Source organism: Homo sapiens, chromosome 7, assembly GCF_000001405.40.
Source record: "Homo sapiens chromosome 7, GRCh38.p14 Primary Assembly".
In the NCBI taxonomy this organism is placed as follows: domain Eukaryota; kingdom Metazoa; phylum Chordata; class Mammalia; order Primates; family Hominidae; genus Homo; species Homo sapiens.
This window is the reverse complement of record NC_000007.14, coordinates 121,447,403-121,468,223: the sequence shown is the minus strand read 5'-3', so window position 1 is coordinate 121,468,223 and position 20,821 is coordinate 121,447,403. Positions and strand designations below refer to the sequence as shown.

The following is a 20,821-nucleotide window of genomic DNA, read 5'->3' as shown; positions in this document are numbered from 1 at the left end:
TGGCGCGATCTTGGCTCACTGCAACCTCCACCTCCCAGGTTCAAGTAATTCTCCTGCCTCAGCCTCCCAAGTAGCTGGGACTATAGGTGCAAGCCACCACACCCGCCTAGTTTTTGTATTTTTAGTAGAGACAGGGTGGTTTAGTTGGCCAGGCTGGTCTTGATCTCCTGACCTCGTGATCCACCCCCCTTGGCCTCCCAAAGTGCTGGGATTACAGGTGTGAGCCACCACCCCTGTCCCAAGTCTTTTCATTTCTACCACCCAAATATAGGACGGTAGATTAGAGCAGAATGATAGATGGTAGAGTAGGCTTATGGCTTTCCTTGGTTTTGAGTATTTTAAAGGCTTTCCATGACCCATGAAATTGATTCCATATGCCTTAGACAGACATATAAGGCCTTTATGATTTGACTGTCATTTGTCAACTTTACATCAGGTTGTTTCTTCCATTCGTCTCTGTTGTGGTCATATTACCTGACCTTTAATATGTCCATGCCCAGCATTGGCTGTTCTCTGTGCCTGACACACTCTGCATTGTCTGCCACATAAAATTGTACATATCTCACATCAAATATTACCTCCAAGACACCCCTTTCTTTACTGTGGTCTCATATCCCTTTGCATAACATTTTATTTTGGCATATCTCCCATTGTGTAGTAACTTTCTTGCTTGCAAGCCTTTTTCTCCCACTAGATCAAGTGAAAAACATTTTTTATTTGTCTTTGCATCCCTAGCATCCAGTGCAGTGCCTGACACAGAGTATGCGCCCAATTCATGTTTGTTGAATGAAAAATTATTTTGTGTTACAGGCCCTTTTGGCAGAAGTCTAATTTCCTTTTTTTTTTTTTTTTTTTTTTTGAGATGGGGTCTTGCTCTTGTCACCCAGGCTGGAGTGTAATGGTGTGATCTCGGCTCACTGAAACTTCTGCCTCCCAGGTTCAAGTGATTCTCCTCCCTCAGCCTCCCAAGTAGCTGGGATTACAGGTGCCCACCACCATAGCCAGCTAATTTTTTATATTTTGAGTAGAGACACGGTTTCACCATGATGGCCAGGCTGGTCTCGACCTCCTGACCTCAGGTGATCCACCCGCCCCGGCCTCCCAAAGTGCTGGAATTACAGGCGCTAATTCACTTTCTATGACATAGAAAGTACTTTCAAAGAGTAAGCTTCACTGTTGTAAGCTAAACACTTGGTAATTTTAAGAGATTTATCTTTAGTCTAAGATCTGAGAACATAACCCTCATTGCCCTCATTCTTTAAAACCTTCTACCATACCTCCTCCTAATAATAAGACTAGGAATATCATACTCAAGCATCCATTTAAAGTACATGAAACCATTTTACCCAAATGTGAGAATTACGAAATCTTAGTATCCACAGGGATATTAGCTGTAATATAACTGTTATGGGTTGATTTGTGTCCCCAAAAGGATATGTTGAAGTCCTAAGCCTCAGTACCTGTGAATGTAGCCGTAATTGGAAATAGAGTCTTTGTATAGGTAATCAAGTTAAGATGAGGTCATACTGCATTAGAGTGAGCCCTAATCTAATCTGACTGGCGTCCTTATAAGAAAAGAAGAGACACAGACACAGACACACAGGGAGAACGCCATGTGATGACAGAGGCAGAGATTGGAGTGATCCAGCTGCAAGTCATGGAACACCATGGATTTAACCATCAGAAGCTAGGAAGAAACAAGGAAGGATTCCACCCAGATATCAGAGGAAGCACAGGCCTGCTGACACCTTGGTTGCAGACTTCCGGCCTCCAGAACTGGGAGAATAAATTTTTGTTGTTTTAAGCCACCCGATTTGGGTAGTTTGTTACAGCAGCCCTTGAAACTCATATAATAACCCAGGTCTTACCTGATGTTTTCAATATCCAAAATTGTGCTTGGGTAATTCCTGAAATAGGAGACTTACTACCTCCAAAGGGAGTATATTTGTAGTAGTAGAGCCCAGTGTGCTGGAATGTCTCAGGAGGATTTTCAATTTGCTTCCTGGACCTTTTGCTTATTATTCTCAAATGGAAGATCATGACGTCTTTAAATCCCACAGTTTCAGCAGCTTTTAATAATAATTTACATAAGGGGTTTCTACAGCAAATGAGAATTGAAAAATGGAGTCTCCAAGTGTCAGGCATATGGGGCTTGGTGGATAGTTTCCCTGAATTAACTAGAGACACTGGTATTATTTCAGTGCAGCCTTACTCTAATTGAAGGATGGTTTACATTTGTAATTATATCCTTCCAAGAAGAGGGAAATTATGTGGCTGCCTTCCTCCCACCCAGGCCTAATGATATGAAAGGAAAGGTTTGCCAGTTTTCTATTTCCCTGGCTGTCCTGGCACCTATTCGTGTGGAAGACAGGAATAGGTATCAAAAGCCCTAACACTAGATTAAAAGAATTAAAAGTCAAAGCAGCTAAGAATCCAAGGAATATTATGGGATTAAGAGAATGAGAAGGCTGCCTGTAAAGTGCTTAAGCGTCTCCTGGCTATGGAGTAAAAGAGAAAAACATCACTTGAGTTTAGGATTACTGTCTCTCAAGAAAGGACAACAAAAGATTTTTGTGTGTTTTTACTTTCCAATGCCCCATGACGTTGATGCAAGTTGTAATTTGAAGATCATTTCACTTTTTCAGTTAGCAAAGCTTCAGAGAAAACAGCAAATGATTGCCGGGAAAGTAAATGAATACTTCAGACAACTGCCAACAAAGGAAAATAAATGTTATCTCTAAAAGAAGTGAATGTTTACGAAGGTAGAAATATATATAGGATGCTTGGATAGCCACTTAAGTTGTTAATCAATGGGAACACTGAAAATTTCTATAAATGAAAAAGTTGCAATAGTTATTATTCACTTCTCCCTTGATTCTTCACCAATTTAAACCATCTCCCCTACCTCCACCACAACACAAATGATTTATTTGTAAGGCAAAGGGAATTAAAGGAAGCAAAAACATAATTGCCATGCATTATCCTTTACATAAAATAACGAATAGAGAATAGAATAGCTTATTAGCTTTGGTTTTTAGAGTTTTACCTAGAACACTGTTTTATATCATTAAAAATGTGATGTAGTACCATGGACTTTGCCTCACCTGCTCAGCTCCATGCTGTAGTCAGCACCATGATGCTCTCATGACACCGAAGGATATCTCTGAGGGAAGACATGGCTGTTCCCCTCAAAGAAGTTTTCAAATACTGAGGTAAGAGCTCTCAGATGGGCTACTAGGCCTTCTGTATTTACCTCATTTGGGTTTTCTGAACAAAATTCCTTCAGTATAATTTCTAACAGACTCACCTGGACTAACATGGAAAATAAAATTCAATTTTTTTTTTTTTTTTTGAGATGGAGTTTTGCTCTTGTTGCCCAGGCTGGAGTGCAATGGCACAATCTCGGCTCACTGCAACCTCCGTCTCCCGGGTTCAAGTGATTCTCCTGCCTCAGCCTGCCCTGTAGCTGGGATTATAGGTGCCCCCACCACGCCCAACTAATTTTTGTATTTTTAGTAGAGAGGGGGTTTCACTATGTTGGTCAGGCTGGTCTCGAACTCCTGAGCTCAGGTGATCCACCCGCCTCGGCCTCCCAAAGTGCTGGGATTACAGGCGTGAGCCATCACGCAAGGCCCAAGATTCATTTTAAAGGCAGGCCCTATCCCTATTTCACATCACCCAGCCCTGCACAGAACTGGGGGAAGGGGAAGACTTGGAGATATTCCAACCATCACTGCGTCCCTGACTTTAAGCCTATAAAATAGCATGCTGCAGCCTCTGCTACTGTTTTCCAAAATCAAGCATAGAAAGATGCATGTCAAATCGAAATCCAGGGAACAATATAAAAGACTGAACCAATGCTCCATTATTTCCTTCTATTTCTTCTTTGAATTTGGCCATCTGCCTTTTTCATTGTGCTTACTTATTTATTTCTCTGGCTCTTTCTTCCTCATACTTGCAACCAGCTATTGTCTAGGAATCCCTCTGGTCCTCCTACTGAAAACAAGGCATTCTAGTTTATCTGTATTGAATGAAAGCACAAATTACTCAGATTACACCTCCATAGAGATGGCTTCCAAAGAAATCTTTCCTTTTTAATTGACTTTCTAGATGTGAGGCCAAATGTCTCCAGTCCTAGAGATCGCTTATCCTGCTGTTCCACAGTCACGCTAAATATTCTGCAGGAGCGTAACCAAATGTGGTGGTGACAGCCTTCCACCCAGGGGAACCACAGTATATAGAGAATTTACAAAACAGAAATTAGTAAAAGCAACTAAAAATTGGTCTGCTTTATATTATCACCATATGCCAGCAATTCTACACGATAATAGTGGTGGGGCCGTGCATGTGGTGTGGAGGTGGGATGACTGCCATCTGCAGCCCCTACCTCTGGTAAGCCCTCCTCTTGAGTCCTGACATCGTCTATAGATCCCGGGGAAAGGCAATTTTTTTTCCTTGATGATTCCTAGAAGCTCCTTTTTGGTGTCCAGCCAACCCTTTCAACCTTCCATTGACCTATTTGGGGGTGTCCATGCCTCTGGTTCTGGGACACTTTACCCTTGGTCCAAACATTCTTTTCTGTCCTGTTACTCTTATTGAAAGCTGAGGCCGTAACTGTCTTGACCCTAGGTGAACTAGGCTTCTTGCTCTGTGTTCCAAATGAATTTGGGACTTAGTTTTGCCATCATCCAGTAGCTTGAAAAGTGAGTTTTGTGTAAACTTGAAGCTTTGATATATTTATAGTGAAATGATTACTGAAATAAAGATAATTAACATATTCATTACTTCACATACTTAGTTAATCATTTTGTGTGTGTGAGATAAGAACACTTAAGAGCCACCCTTTTGTAAATTTAAAGTATACAATAGAGTATTATTAAATATAGTCACCATTTCTGCTTTTATGAGTTTAACTTGTTTAGATTACATGTATAAGTGAAATAATGCAATATTTGTCTTTCTGTTGCCTGGTTTATTTCACTTAGAATAATGTCCTCCAAGTTCATACCTGTTGTGGCAAATGACAACCTTATTCTCTTTTAATTGCCAACTGAAGCCTTATTTTTGTCTCTCCTTCCTCCATGGAAATCATCTTTTGTTATTTAAAAATACCTTAAACCAGAGTTTCTCAAACCTTAGTCATTCATGTACCACCTTCATAAATTTTTCTGTATCTAATTACCACTTATATTCACCTAATAATTATTAAAATCATGGCTCATTATATCAGTAACTTTAGGAAGCCTAGTTGTAAACATACAGTATCAATAACAGAAATCTTTCCACTAAAGAAAAGGAAGGCTGCTCCTTTTCAGTGCAATATCATTTTGTACATAAATCATTTTTCTAGATGAAAGGCACTATAACTATATTAATTTTGTTATTAACATACTTACTATTGACATTCATTAATGCCTTTTTTGAAAATCAAGAGTGAAGTCTGTGAATTTAGGAACTAATTGTAAAAAATAGGACACTAAATCAGTAACTAGTCATGGTATGGAGCCCTTCTAATTTCTCTACCTTTTTTAAAACACAAAATTTCTAGGAAATTGAGAGATTTGAGGCATCTAATCAGCAGATCGAATTATTAATCAAATTATCTGCGTGATCTAAATTATTTTTTAAACAGGTACTTTTATGTTGCTTGTATAATTTTGTGTAAACTCTCAGTAATTGAAAGTTGAGTAATCTGTACAAGGATCATTGAATACTACTTTGAGATTGACTACATACAAAATCTTCCATTATGTTGAGTGTCATTTTCTAACAAGCTTATTTAAGTTTTAGGTTTTCAAAGTGGCTTTCTCCATGAGCTCCAAAAGTTAGAAATGAACTTCTGTCATCTACTTTTATTCTTTTTTATATATAACCTTTGAATCACAAGAATGATTGTGGAAAGGTATAAGAAAGCTGTAGCTTTCAATAACCACTGCAAACAGTAGGAAATTGAGTTTTTCCAGTGTTTAGTAACTCGAGCAATGATCAAACACTGAAATATCCCGTTCTAGTTATTTTGCTCTTCAGAATTCAATTAATGTCTTTCAAAGACATTGGAAAGCTTTTGAGATAAAATGACTAGAAAATGAAAAGCTTTTGAGATAAAATGACTAGATTCCCCAAACTGTGTTGTTTCTCATCACTCTCATGAGAAAGGGTAATACAAACTCTTGGAATCAAAACAAAAGAGGAAACAAACAGTGACTTGAATGTCTTTTCGTCTGCATGGTGAGATAATACACAGGAACTCCTGAGTTAACGTGGGTTTCTTAAGCTACAGCCTCTCAACATTGAGAAAGCAAAATCACTCCACTATTCTTATTGTTTAATTGTGCCCTCATTGCCTGAACATTGTCAAGGTTAGATTCAAAATCTCTTACACTTCTTGGGATGCAGAATAATCTTATTATTTGGACTTGGGCCCTAATCTGAGTCTAATAAAGTAAGGGATATTTGTGTTTAATGAGTAAAAATGTCATGTGCCATTATTAAATCTTAATGGTTAAAAAATGAGGTGATGTTGCAATAAGACAGAATTGAACATTAGTGATGTTGCGTTTGAATAAACTGGATACTAGCAAACTTTTCTAGTATATGAGCATAAAACATACAGTATTTTAAGAAATACTGTAGTTTTATTAACTGAATTGAAAATGCTTAATTGATGTGATATATTCCAATTTTTAACCCCGATGAAAATTTTATATTTGAAAAGTGAACTAAACCATGACTCTGGTAGAAAAACCAAGAATAAAAAGTGTCATACTGCTAAGGAAATTCAGATTTCTGAGGATTTCAGGGCTGTGTTCTAAAGAGTTGGACAGGCTAGAAGGTGGGCTCCAGGTACATGGGAGGCATTCTTATACAGTGTTGCATCCACATATCAGAGTTAGAGGTAAAAGTTTATCCTTTATTTCTCATATACTAATTTAAAATGTTTTATGTAGGCAATATATGTAATGTAAGAAGTCATATAACAAAAAATAGGCATAAATGAAATGAGAACTGAATAGCTATAAAAATAAGTTAGAAATCTTGAAAATGAAAACAATAGACTTATGGAAATGGAAATCTTAAGAACTGGGAAAGATTCCAGGATGGAGAGATACTAGTGAACTAGAGGACTGCATTGAAGCATTCACTCATAGAACACAGAGACAGAGATTTAAAAAACATAAAAGAAATGGATTAGAAATTATGAGGCTGCAAAATGTTACCAATAGGTGTTACAGAAGAAAAAGAAGGAGCAGGGAAGCAACGTGTGAAGACATAACTAAGAATATTCTTAAACTGAGGAAAAGCAAGAGTCAGGTTGAATGTACTCTCTGATTGTCAAAGATGTGCAAATAAAAACAGATCTACTCCCGGACATTTTCTAATATAACTGCAGAGCATCGAGCTTAAAAGAAAAATCTTAAAATCAACTAGAGAGAAAAATAGATCACTTAAAAAGAAACAATAATTAGAATGACAGAAGACTTTGGAATACTGCAACAGATGTCAGCAATCATATAATAATAAAAGAAAAAGCACAAAAAGTTATAAAAGTATGACATTACGTTCCTAAAGCATAACTTTCAAATATATAAATCAAAAACTGAAATTAAACACAGATGGTGAGAAATCCACTATTATAGGAAAATATTGATTATAGTACTATTTATGATATTAAAAGTTTAAAAACAAAGAAAATGTACATCATTAAGGTAATGATTTAAAACATGATTATATCCATAGCATGAAATATTATTCAGTCATTGAAAGATTGCATATGCATTTGTATATGATTATGTAAGCATAAAGAAACTTATGGAAAAATACATACCAAATTACTTAAGACTTGGGGGGAGACAGTGATGGGCACAGAAACAGATAGTGAAAGAGATGGGAAAATGTTCAAAATTTTAATAACTACAGAAAAAAATAATTTTGATTAAAGGCATTTATCTACAACTTTTCTATAAGAGCTCTGAAGCAAGAAGGAACACAAACTGGTGAAGGGATCCCAGAGTGGGGCACAAAAAAGAGGATCTTTTTGTTTGTTTGTTTGTCTTTGTTTTTGTTTTTGAGATAGAGTCTCACTCTATTGTCCCAAACTGGAGTGCAGTGGGGCAATCTCGGTTCAGTGCAACCACCGCCTCCTAGGCTCAAGCGATTCTCCGGCCTCACCGTCCAGAGTAGATACAACAGGACTGCAAGTGTGCACCACCATGCCTGGCTAATTTGTTTATTTTTAATAGAGACAGGGTTTTGCCATGTTGGCCAGGCTGGTCTCGAACTCCTGACCTCAACTAATCTGCCCACCTCGGCCTCCGAAAGTGCTGGGATTACAGGCGTGAGCCACCGTGACTGGCTGGATCTTTTGTTATATCCACACTAAGGGGACAGAAGGGACTGTCTAACCCTTAGGCAGACAGATAGACATAATTTACCTAATGCGTTGGATAGCTGCACTTTGCCACACTTTCCTGTGTAGGAGGCTTATGTTTTCATTTCTTTCAGTTATTATGTGTGTGTCCTCATTATGCATTTCTGCTTAAAAGTATTTCTTGCTATACATTGATCAAGAAATTAGGGAAAAGCCACCAAATAATTCCATTTTATGCTATATGGTTTTTGAAAAAATAAAAACCATACATTTTTCCAAATGAAAATTTCATTCATAATTCAAGTTTTCTACAGTAGAATTTTAGGATTTAGGTATAATCTCAATACCTCATAATAAGTCTGAGTGCTTTTCTCTTCTGTGTAAAATGCTTTTAAATACTTTACACATCTTATTTTCATTCATTTAACATGGTAAGCACATTAAAGGAGAAAAAAACATTCCCCTTCTTGGATCACTAATGAACCTTGAGTTTCTGGTCTGTAAACTTTAGAGTGTCACAGGACATTATTATGAAACAGCCTGGATTATTGCCAAGTTAGTTTTGGGCTGGCATCTGTGGCATATTGAAATGGAAGAGTCGGCCCTCTTTTAAAATGTGGAAATTGTTCGCAATAATTGGTGAAAATTCCCTACATATTCTACCTATACATTTGAATGGGAAGGCTATACAGAAAACAATAATATCCAGGGTTTTATAATATTAAAAAGAAGTAAAAGGAAAAGCAAAAACAAAAAAATCTTTGTGTAATATTCATCAGCTTTGTGAAAGATAGCTGTCCATCTTCGTGAAAATGAAAACAGAATGAACTATGATTTGAGTCTTATTGGCTGTGAGTATAAATACGTATAAAGCAGAAACCAAATGCAGGCAAAATTCATTAGAATGAGAGTACCCAAGAAACAATTTTAGCAGTTTCTATCCACTTATCCTAGGTCTAGGGACTTAAAGAAAAACCTACGCTTTTATTTGGATAAACTTCAAAAATACACAAAAGTAGAAATAACTATACAAAGAACCCACATGTATCTAACACCCAGCTATAAGGATCATCAACCCACAGCAATCTTGTTTCATATATGCCCCACTCACTTCATACTTTCCCCCACTGGATTATTTTGAAGCAAATTCAAGCATTATTTTATCTACAAATATTTTAATATCTGTCTCTAAAACATAAGGATTCATTCATTTTGGGAATTTTAATATCTGAATTTGTAGAAGAGACTTTTCCATGTGGTTTCAAGGTAAAGGAAGTACTCTGCAAGGAGAAGGCAATATCTTTGTGTACTACAATGGATGCCAAGCATGGTTGCTATTCTTCTTTTGTAGGGATTAAGTGCAATTCCCTATTTTACAATTACACAAACCTTAGTGTTTCTAGCAGCTCTTTCTAACTTCATCTTCGCTTTCTTTTACCTCCTTGGCCCTATTTTTTCATTTCAATAAACTTTCATTACTAAAAAGTCAGGAAAACCATAAGCTATATTAACAGAAAAGAGTGTGAAGATTTCAGAAAGTGTATTTTCACCATAATTTACCTAATTAGTTGTTTCATTTCTGAGCACCCCATTTAAGTGGTGCTACAAAGAACTAGGTGCTATATGAAAGAAGGAAACCAGGATTGTATGTTGGTTAATTTTACATGTCAACTTGACTGGACTAAGAGATGCCCAGATAGCTGGTAAAACATTATTCCTGGGTGTGTCCATGAGGGTGTTTCTGAAAGTGATTAGCACTTGACTTAGTGGACTGAGTCAAGAAGATCTGCCCTCACCAATGTGGTCAGGGATTATCCAAACCACTGAGACCCTAAAAGAACAAAAAATGACTTGTTTTGCCCAGTTATATGTATACCAGGATCCTAGATTGAATCCTGAGCCAGAAAAAAATGTGGCTTTTGTTGTTATTGTTGTTTTGCAATAAAGAATATTATTATGACGATTGATGAAATTACACAAAGTTTTAGATTAAATAATAGTATTATATCAATGTTAATTGTTTTTGATAATTATACTGATTTTGATCATTATACTGTGATTAGGCAAGAAAATATTCTTGTTAATAGGACACTGAAGTATTTAACATTAAAATAGCATTATTGAGAAGGCAGAGCAAGATAGCCAAATAGAATCCTCTAACGATCACCCTCTCCCCAAAAGGAACACCAAGTTGAGCAACTATCCACACAAGAAAGCACCTCTATAAGAACCAAATATCAGGTGAGCAATCACTGTACCTGGTTTTAATATCTTATCAAGGAAAGAAGCACTGAAGAGCATAGGATAAACAGTCTTGAATTGCCAACACCACCCCTTCCCTATACCCCAGCAGTGGCTGCATGGTGTGGAGAAAGAATCTATGTGCTTGGGAGAGGGAGAATGCTGTGACTGTGGGACTTTGCGTTGGAACTCAGTGCTGCCCCGTAACAGTGGAAAGCAATACAGGCAGAATTCTGCCCACACCCACAAATGTGGCATTTAGACCAGCCATAGCCAGAGGGGAGTTGTCCACCCCAGTGGCCAAAACCTGAGTTCTGGCTAGCCCCATCACTGCAGGCTAAAGTACTCTGGGGTCCTAAATAAATTTGGAAGGCAGTCTAGGCCACAAGAACCACAATTTCTGGGCAAGTCCTAGTGCTGTGCTGGGATAGGAGCCAGTCAACTTGAGGTGAATGCAACCTAGAGACACACCAGCTAGGGGCAGACAAGGGAATGCACTAGCTCCCAGGTGACATTTCTCGACATATCCTGGGCCAGAAGTGAACCCACTGCCTTTAAGGAAAGAACCTAGTACTGGCAGGATTTATTACCTGCTGAGAAAAGAGCCTTTCCACCTTGAATAAACATCAGCAGTAGCTAGGCAATTCACCACAGGCCTTGAGTGACACCCAGCACCCTGCTGGCTTCAGGTATGATCCAGTACATTCTCAGCTGTGGTGGCCACAGGGAGAGACTCCTTCTGCTTTAGGAAAGGAGGGGGAAGGTTAAAAAGGACTTCGTCTTGCCACTTTGGTGTCGCAAATAAAATAAAGCACCAAACAGACTCCTGAAGTCCCCAATCCAGGCCTTAGCTCCTGGATGCATTTCTAGACCCACTCTGGGCCAGAAAGGAACCCACTTCCCTGAAGACAGAGACTCAGGCCTGTAGGATTCACCACAAGCTGACTAAAGGGCCCTTGGGCATTGAATAAGCATCAACGGTAGCCAGGCAGTATTCACCATGGGCCTAGGGCACTGATGGCCATGGGGAGAGACTCCTGCTTGAGAAAAAGAGAGGGAAGAATATGAAAGATTTTATCTTGCAACTTGAGTACCAGTTCAGCCACAGTTCAATAAAGCACCAAGTTGATCCCTAAAGTTCCTGACTCTTGGCCTCAGCTCCCAGACAGCATTCCTGGGCCAGAAGGAAACCCACCAACCTGAAGGGAAAGGTACAAGTCTGATAGGATTCACTACCTGCTGACTTGGGCCTTGGGCCTTGAAAACGTATCAGAGGTAGCCAGGTAATGGTCATCACAGTCTTTGGGAGAGGCACAGTACTGTGCTGGCTTAAGGTCTGACCCATAGCAGTCCCAGTGGTGGTAGCCACAGGGGTGTTTGTGCCACCCCTCCCCCAACTCCAGGAAGCTCAGCATGAAGAAAGAGACTCTGTTTGTTTGGGGTAAAGGAAGGGAAGAGAACAACAGACTGTGCCTGGTAATCCAGGGATTCTCCCAGGACTTACCCAAGACCACTAAGGCAGTAACTTTACCAGTCTGCAAGAGTCACAGTGTTACTGGGCTTTGGGTGCCTCCTAATACAGATACAGCTGCAGTGACCAAACACTTATATCACAGCACTCAATTCCCTTTGAATAATTGGAAAGTCTTCTCAAGAAGGACAGGTTACAAACAAGCCCAGACTGTGAAGATTACAATAAGTACCTAACTCTTCAATGCTCAGTCTTCAATGAACATCCACAAGCATCAAGACCATCCAAGAAAGCACGACTTCACCAAACGAACCAAATAAGGCACCAGTGCCCAACCCCAGAATGACAGAGATATTTGACCTTTCAGACAGGGAAATCAAAATAGCTCTTTCGATGGCACTCGATTAATTCAAGAAAACACAGAGAAGGAATTAAAAATCCTATTGAATATATTTAACAGAAAGATTGAAATAATTTTAAAAAAATCACGAGAAATTCAAGAGTTGAAAAATTCAGTTGGCATACTGAAGAATGTGTCACATCTCTGAACAGCAGAATAATTAAGCAGAAGAAAGAATGAGTGAGCTTGAAGACAGGCTCTTTGAAAATACACAGTCAGAGAAGATAAAAGAAAAAAGAATAAAAAAGAATGAAGCACACCTATAAAGATCTAGAAAATAGCCTCAAAAGGACAAATCTAAGGACAAATCCTTAAGGAGGAGGTAAAGAGCAAGATTGGGATAGAAAGTGTATTCAGAGGGATAATAACAGAGAACTTTCCAAACGTAGAGATATCAATATTCAACTACAAGAATGTTATAGAACACCAAGCAGATGTAACTCAAATAAGACTATCTCAAGACATTTAACAAACTTCCAAAGGTCAAGGATAAAGAAAGAATCCTAAAAGCAGTAGGAGAAAAAAAATAAATAAATAATATACAAAGGAGATCTGATATGTCTGGCAGCAGACTTCTCAGTAGAAACCTTGTAAGCCAGCAGAGAGTGGCATGATACACTTAAAGTGCTGAAGGAAAAAATAAAAATTCTTATACTAGAATAGTATATCCAGTGAAAATATTCTTCAAACATCAAGGAGAAATAGAGACTTTCCCAGAAAAACAAAAGCTGAAGGATTTCATCAACACTAGACTGCCCTATAAGAAATGCTAAAGGGGTTTTTCAATCTGAAAGAAAAAGATAGCAAGGAGAAATAAGAAATCATCTAAAGGCACAAAACAGCAAGTACACAGAAAAGTACAGAATATTATAATACTGTAACTGTGGTGTGTAAACTCATATCTTGAGTAGGAAGACTAAAAATGAACCAATAAAAAATAATAGCTACAACAACTTCTAAAGATGTAGACAGTATAATAAGATATAAATAGAAATAATAAAAAGTTTAAAAGTTGGTTGGGGGAACGAAGTTCAACTGTAGAGTTTATATTAGTTTTCTCTTTGCCTGTGTGTTAGTTGTTCAGTTGTTTTGGGTTTTGTTTGTAATCAGTGTTAAGTTGTCATCAGTTTTAAATAATGGGTTACAACATGTTATTTGCAAGCCTCGTGGTAACCTGAAATCAAAAAACTTACAACAGACTCAAAAAAAGGCAAGAAATTAAAACATACCACTGGAGAAAATCACCTTCACAAAAAGGAAAACAGGAAGGAAAGAAAGAAGAGAAGTCAGAAAACCAATTTTAAAATGGCAAGAGTAAATTCTCATCACCAATAACATTGAATGTAAATGGACTAAACTTTCCAATCAAAAGACATAAAGTGGATAAAAAAATCAAGCTGAATGGATAAAATAGCAAGTCCCAACTATCTTCTCCCTATAAGAAACATGCTTCACATATAAAGACACACATAGGCTGAAAATAAAGTGATGAAAAAAGATAGTCCATGCAAATTGAAACTGAAAAAAAACATAGAAACAAAGAAGGTTATTTCATATTGATAAAGGGGTAGATTTAACAAGGGAATACAACAATTGTAAATATATATGCATCCAACACTGGAGCATTCACATATATAAAGCAAATATTCCTAGAGCTAAAGAGAGAAATAGACCCAATGACATTCTTCACAGAGATTGAAAAAATAATCCTGTAATTTATATGGAACCATGAATGACCCAGAATAGCCAAAGCCATCCTGAGCAAAAAGAACAAAACTGGAAAAATTATTTTACCTGACTTCGACTGATACCAATGAGTGATAGTAACCAAAACAGCATTGTGCTGGCATAAAAATAGACGCAGAAACCAATGGAACAGAATAGACCACCCAGAAATAAGACCATATATCTACAGTTAGCTCATTTTTGACAAAGGTGCCTTCAATAAATGGTCCTGGGAAAACTGGATATCTGTATGCAGAAGAATGAAACTAGACCTCTATCTCGCACCATATACAAAAAATCAAATCTAAAATGGATTAAACACTTAAATTTAAGAACTCAAAACTATGAAAACTACTAAAAGAAAATATTGAAGAAACTCTCCAGGACATTGGTCTGGGCAATGATTTCTTGGTCACTACTCTACAAGCACAGACAAATAAAGCAAAAATGGACAGATGTAATTATAACAAGTTTAAAAGCCTCTGCACAGCAAAGGAAACAATCAACAAAGTGAAGAGATGACCTACAGCATGGGAGAAAATATTTTCAAACTCTTCATCTGACAAGGGATTAATAAACAGAATGTATAAGTAACTCAGACACCCAATAGGAAAACATCTAACAATTTGATCAAAAATCAAACAATCTGATTTTTTAAATTAGCAAAAGTTCTGGAAAGACTTTCCTCAAAGAAGACATACAAAAGGCAATCAGGTGTAAGAAAAGATGCTCAACATCATTGATCATCAGAGAGATGCAATTCAAAACTACAACGAGATAATCATCTCATCCCACTTAAAATGGCTTTTATACAAAAGACAGGCAATAACAAATGTTGGCAAGGTTGTGGAGAAAAGGGAACTCTCATACACTGTTGGTGGGGATGGACATTAGTACAATCACTATAAAGAACAGTATGGAGGTTCTTCAAAAAATCTAAAAACAGAACTTCCATATGACCCAACAATCCCACTGCTAGGTATATACTCAAAAGAAAGGAAATCAGTGTATAAAAGAGATATCTGCACTTCCATGTTTATTGCGGTACTATTCACAATAGCCAAGATTTGTAAGTAACCTAAGTGTCCATCGACAGACAAATAAAGATATGGTACATATACATAATGGAGTACTATTCAGCCACAAAAAAGAATGAGATCCTTTAATTTGCACTAACATGGACGAAACAGGAATATTATGTTGAGTGAAATAAGCCGGACACAGAATGACAAACTTATGTTCTCACTCATTTTGGGGAGCTAAAATTTAAAACATTTGAACTCATGGAGATAGTAGCATGGTGGTTACCAGAGGCTAGGAAGGGTAACAGCAGGTGAGGGAGTGAAGATGATTTGTGGGTACAAAAATATAGTTAGATAGAATGAATAAGATCTAGTATGTGATAACATTACAGGGTGACTACAGTCAACAATAATTTCCTGTGCATTTTAAAATAACTGTAAGAGTATAATTGGAATGTTTGTAATGCAAAAATATGATAAATTCTTAAGAGATGATGGATGCTCCATTTACCCTGATGTGATTATTAAGGACTGTATGCCTGAATCAAAATACCTCATGTACCCCATAAATATATACACATACTATGTACCTATAAAAGTTTAAAATAAATGAAATATAATAGCATCATGGAGAGACAGTAAATATGATAAAATGTCAATGATTGAAGACATGTGAGCTTTTAATACTATTGCAACTCTTCCATAAGTTTGAAATTATTTCCAAATAAAAATATATACCTAAAGACTTTATGTATATTTCATCAATTTTCATAATATGCTTTCATGCAAATAAATCATATACAGATATGCATAGGAAAGAATAAGAGGTGGGAAGGTAGGGTTATTGAGTATAGAGAACTCCTTTTTGGAATTTTGCTGTAAAATAAAGGGGAGAAATGAAACAGTGGCTGAGATGTTGGAATTAAGAAGGTTTGCTGTAATTGCTGTTATTTGAATGAGTGACATTAAAGCAAGTATATAATAGAAAATGAGGAAAATTCAACCGAGGAAGGACAATGGATGAGTCACGAGAAAGAGATAATATTTTCAGAAGCAAAACCCTTCCACAGCCAAGTAGTAATGAGTTCTGGTGCCTACATAGGGCTTGGCCTTATATTACAGCATGGACAGTTCATCTACTGTAAAGGAAGGGACAGCCCGGGTGTGAATGCAGTTAGTTTAGTCTATGCTATTTGATGTTAGAGGGACAAGAAGTACTTTTCTAAGAGCTCCTATTTTCTCAGTACAGTTAGAAGCAAGGTCTCTAGCTACAACTGAAAAGAGGGAGGAATGATGAAAATTTAAGATTACTACAAAGACAAAAGCAGAAGTGCAAGAAAGCAGAGCTCAGAGGAAGAAAGCAACAATAAAGTCAGCAGACAAGTATTTATAAATGAACCATGAAGCTACCTTACTTTTAAGAGGAAATAAAACTATTTAGTCATACAGCACTTAACGATGGGAATACATTCCGAGAAATGTGTTGTTAGGTGACTTTTGTGGTTGTACAAACATCATAGAGTGTACTTACACAAACCTAGATGGTATAGCCTACTACACATCTACCCTATATGGTACAGGCTATTGCTCCCAGGCTACAAACCTGTATAGCATGTTGCTGTACTCAATATGGTAGGCAGTTGTAATACAATGCTGTTTGCATATCCAAACAGATCTAAACATTAGAAAAGGTAAGTAAAAATATGGTTCTATAATCCTATGGAACCACCATTGTATATGTAGTCTGTCACTGATGAAAATGTCATTATAAAGCACATAACTATGTTTATTTTTTATTTTCAGAGGCCCATAAGTGGGTAAATGTTCCTAAGGACAAAGATATCTATAAATCTGCAGAGTGTACATCTGTAAGAATAGAAGACTGATTCCTCGCTCACATCCTCACTGATCTAATAACTACTCTGGCTTCCAAGATGCTTCAAAAACTAAACTCAGCAAAAAGTGCAGACCAAATATGTGGCAGAAGTTGAACTGAGCTCGTTAAGTTTCATATTATGTATATCCTTTAATATAGCCTTTTAATGCCAATAAGTGTGTCATGCATAGATGAAATGCTAAACTGTCTTATGGCTTAGCAGTATTGGCCTTGGTCTTAGATGGGTATTTAAAACTCAGCCTCTCTTAAGACTTTTCTTCTCTGCCAAAACCTGCTTAGTCACCATCTAGGGTAACCCAAGGTTTTCTTGCTGTCCCCATACAAATTCACTTGAGAAGGTATTCACTGTCCTAGGCAAAGAGCTAAGTAACAATTAATCTATTTCTGAGGAAAAGAACACATAAGTTAGTCATATAGTGCCAGCATGTCTGAGGAAAATGCTTTTAATCAAATAATACTGAAATGTATAATAAGAAATATGATGAGAAGAGACTGGGATTCCACTAAGATGCTTCCCACCCATCAAATTATTACTAAAATATGATGATCTACCAAAGTGCTTTATGCTTCAATCACAGAAACCAATTCAAGCTTAGACCCAGACTTAAGGATGGTCCAAAGATTATGCCACTAGCCATATGTAAAGTTAAATAAAAGTACAAATCCTGTTTCTCAGTTGCATGAGCTGTTTCCAATACTCAGTAGTCACATGTGGCTGATAGCTACCATATTAGTGCAGATATAGAACATTCTGTCATCACAGAAAGTTCTACTGGGCAGCACTGGTCCAAACCATGGAAAGCCCCTGTGGTTTACTCCATTTTTTAAATTGTTACTGGTCCCAGGGAAGCATAAAGAAATATGAACTTGTGCTGTAACCTCAGAACTACCTTGGACTTCCAGCTGACCCCAAACTGGATCTGACTCAGGATAGACCCACATCAACCATCAGAGTTTAGGAGGAGGAGGAAGCAATACTTACCTCAAATGACAAAGTGATGCCTGGGAAAGTCCTTTTAAAACTATGAAGTCCTGTGCAAAAATATTCTTTCCATTTTCCTAAGCAATTGCCTTCACTTTGTTGTGGGGCTCTCCCTAGATTATTATATTCATTGCTGGACTCTAGAGCTTGAGATAAATGCAGAAAATTTGGAGGCAGTTCAGAGGAGACACTCAAAGATGATGAAAGGTTTGAGAAATAAAATTTTGTGGCTAAAAAAACAGAAGTCATCCATCCCGGAAGAAAATTGTAAGATTATCTTCAAGCATAAGCATACATATTATATAGAGGATTATGTCCAGCTACTTTGAAAAGCTGCAGACAAAAGAATTAAATTAAATTAAATTAACAGCATAAAAGTAAATTTCCTGATAATGATGGCTGCGCTGAAACAGGCTATCAAAGAAGTTTAAGAAATCTTCTCTGGATGTATTTGAAAGCAGAAAAGTTTCCACGTAAACATTTTCCAGTAACGACTCCTTCTGAGGAAAGCAGTCAGATATAATTCATTATGTACACATTCTCATGTTTTGTAACATGTGCATATCTGGTCCCAGCTGGTAGGCCTAGGGATTGCTTCTGGCTCCTATCATGCCACCTACAGTCAGGCATGTGGCTACTATGAGAGCCCTATTCAACAAAGCTACTGCATTCTCAGAGTAATTATATTAGAAGATAAGGTCATTCTTTCCCCAGAACCCACTTCTCCTTTCCTTATAACATATCTGATTATTTTTCTTGTGGTACCATCCTTCTCCTATCCTATACAGTCCTGGTCTGGTTAATCAGAGCATCCATTCTCCCTGGCCACAGTGATTGGTTCAGAAGTAACAAGTAACCCAAATCAATCCAATACGGCTTGACTCCAGGACTTTTTTGTTGTTGTTGTTCAAACTGTTGGGAGCAGATAATCACTCTCTGTGGCATATTTGGAAATATGAGATTTAAGCCTGGTTCTAGTGGTCTGGGTTGGGTTGCCATTACATGCAGAGTACAACAACAAAGTGATCCTGTAGGAACTTTATTAAATTTATCCAGAGCAAAAGCATTGGCTCTCCTGCCAGGAAGCAAGTAGCTAGAGATGGTGAGCAACCTGCTAAGCCACAGAGCTAGAGAAGAGGAGAGAAGGAAAGAAGGAAAAGAAGGCCACTCTTTGGTACACAGGTTTTCTCAATTCATCACCTTCTTTACAGCACCACACTGTCTCTCCTTCAATGGTCCTTGGCCCTACCACAGTTCTTTGGGACAAATAAGCAATCTTCTCCTCCTAAACAGCTTCCTCTGTCCCTAATTCAGTTATCACTGCTCCATGTTTTCCCTCTGCTAAACATTTACTCAAACTTCTCAACCACTGATGTCCTCTTTCCTGTTTGTCCTTCGAGGATTTTTTGGTTTGTTTTTGTGTTGTTGTTGTTTTGAGACGAGTCTCGCTCTGTCTCCCAGGCTGGAGTGCTGTGGCGCAATCTTGGCTCACCGTAATCTCTGCCTCCCAAATTCAAGCCATTCTCCTGCCTCTGCCTCCCTAGTAGTGGGATTACATGCGTGCACCACCACGGCCAGCTAATTTTTGTATTTTTAGCAGAGGCGGGGTTTCGCCATGTTGGCCAGGCTAATCTCGAACTCCTGGCCTTAAGAGATCCACCAGCCTCGCCCTCCCAAAGTGCTGGGATTACAGGTGTGAGCCACTGTGCCGGCCCTTCGAGTATTTTTGTTGTTGTTGTTTACCATCATTTTAGAGTGGTTTCAGGAAGGCAATAAATGTTCATGGTCAATCCATCATGTTTAAATGACTTTTATGTTAAGAACAAGCCAATATATCAAGAAGAATTAAAATAGAATGAAGGAGAAAGAAAGAATCAAAGCAGGACATAATGTCTGCTAGCTGTTGTCATGAACATAATTGCAGGAACTAGGATGCACTTACTCAAGCAGCTCGGGAAACCCATTATGCACTCGGAAATCCTTAGAGTAACAATGCTTTAGTGAGTCTGGAGACCAAATCCTGCTGGGTCCAGTCAGACACCCAGTCTGTAGATGTTTGAAACCGAAATTTTCCCCTGGTCCAGTGAGGGTGAGAAGTGCTTTAATTTGGTTGTTTTGTCTTTCTTTTTTTCTACTTTTGGATTGATTTCAGGTCTCTTCTCTTAGGCGTTTTGTTTGTTTAACAAATATTTACTAAGCAACCAATAGGCACACACAGTATTATATTATTTCCTAAAATACAATAAGGAAGACTCAAATCTTGCTTCAAAAAAAAAATCAATTTTTTGGAGAAAGTAACCTTTCTACTAAGTTATTTTGAAAGAGGAGGGCAGAGCAGGGAAGGAGATGGAGATGGGGTGGGTGGGGCAGTGGTTACAGGAACAAGAGGAAATGTTTGGGAGGAGTCAACCCTCTGGTGCCAAATTGGAACACTGATGTTTCCAGATGTCTCTTTAAAATCCCGTCTCACTAGCAGGATTAATATTGAAGAGACTTACCCAGATTTGAGGGTGGAAGAATTGGCCTGGTGAAGGTATTATTACTAAAATACACAATTTCACTCTATTCTTGAGCTATAATCTACAATATTTTGTGACCCTTCACTTCCTCATTTAAAATCTCAAAGGTTGTTTTCAGTTCTAAAATTTTAGTATTTGAACCCAAATTCTGGCTTCTGGGCAATCTTCCCATGGTCTTTCTATTTATATCACATCC

At 37.8% G+C, this 20,821-nt stretch overlaps 1 long non-coding RNA gene across 1 annotated transcript in view; it reads left to right on the top strand.

Moving 5' to 3' along the window:
- Positions 1-17,276, top strand: part of LOC124901737 (uncharacterized) — a 60,247-nt gene extending 42,971 nt beyond the window's left edge. Inside the window, exon 2 of the long non-coding RNA XR_007060496.1 lies at positions 17,031-17,276. This is a non-coding gene — a long non-coding RNA (uncharacterized LOC124901737). The remainder of the gene's footprint in view (positions 1-17,030) is intronic.
- Positions 17,277-20,821: the final 3,545 nt, after the last annotated feature.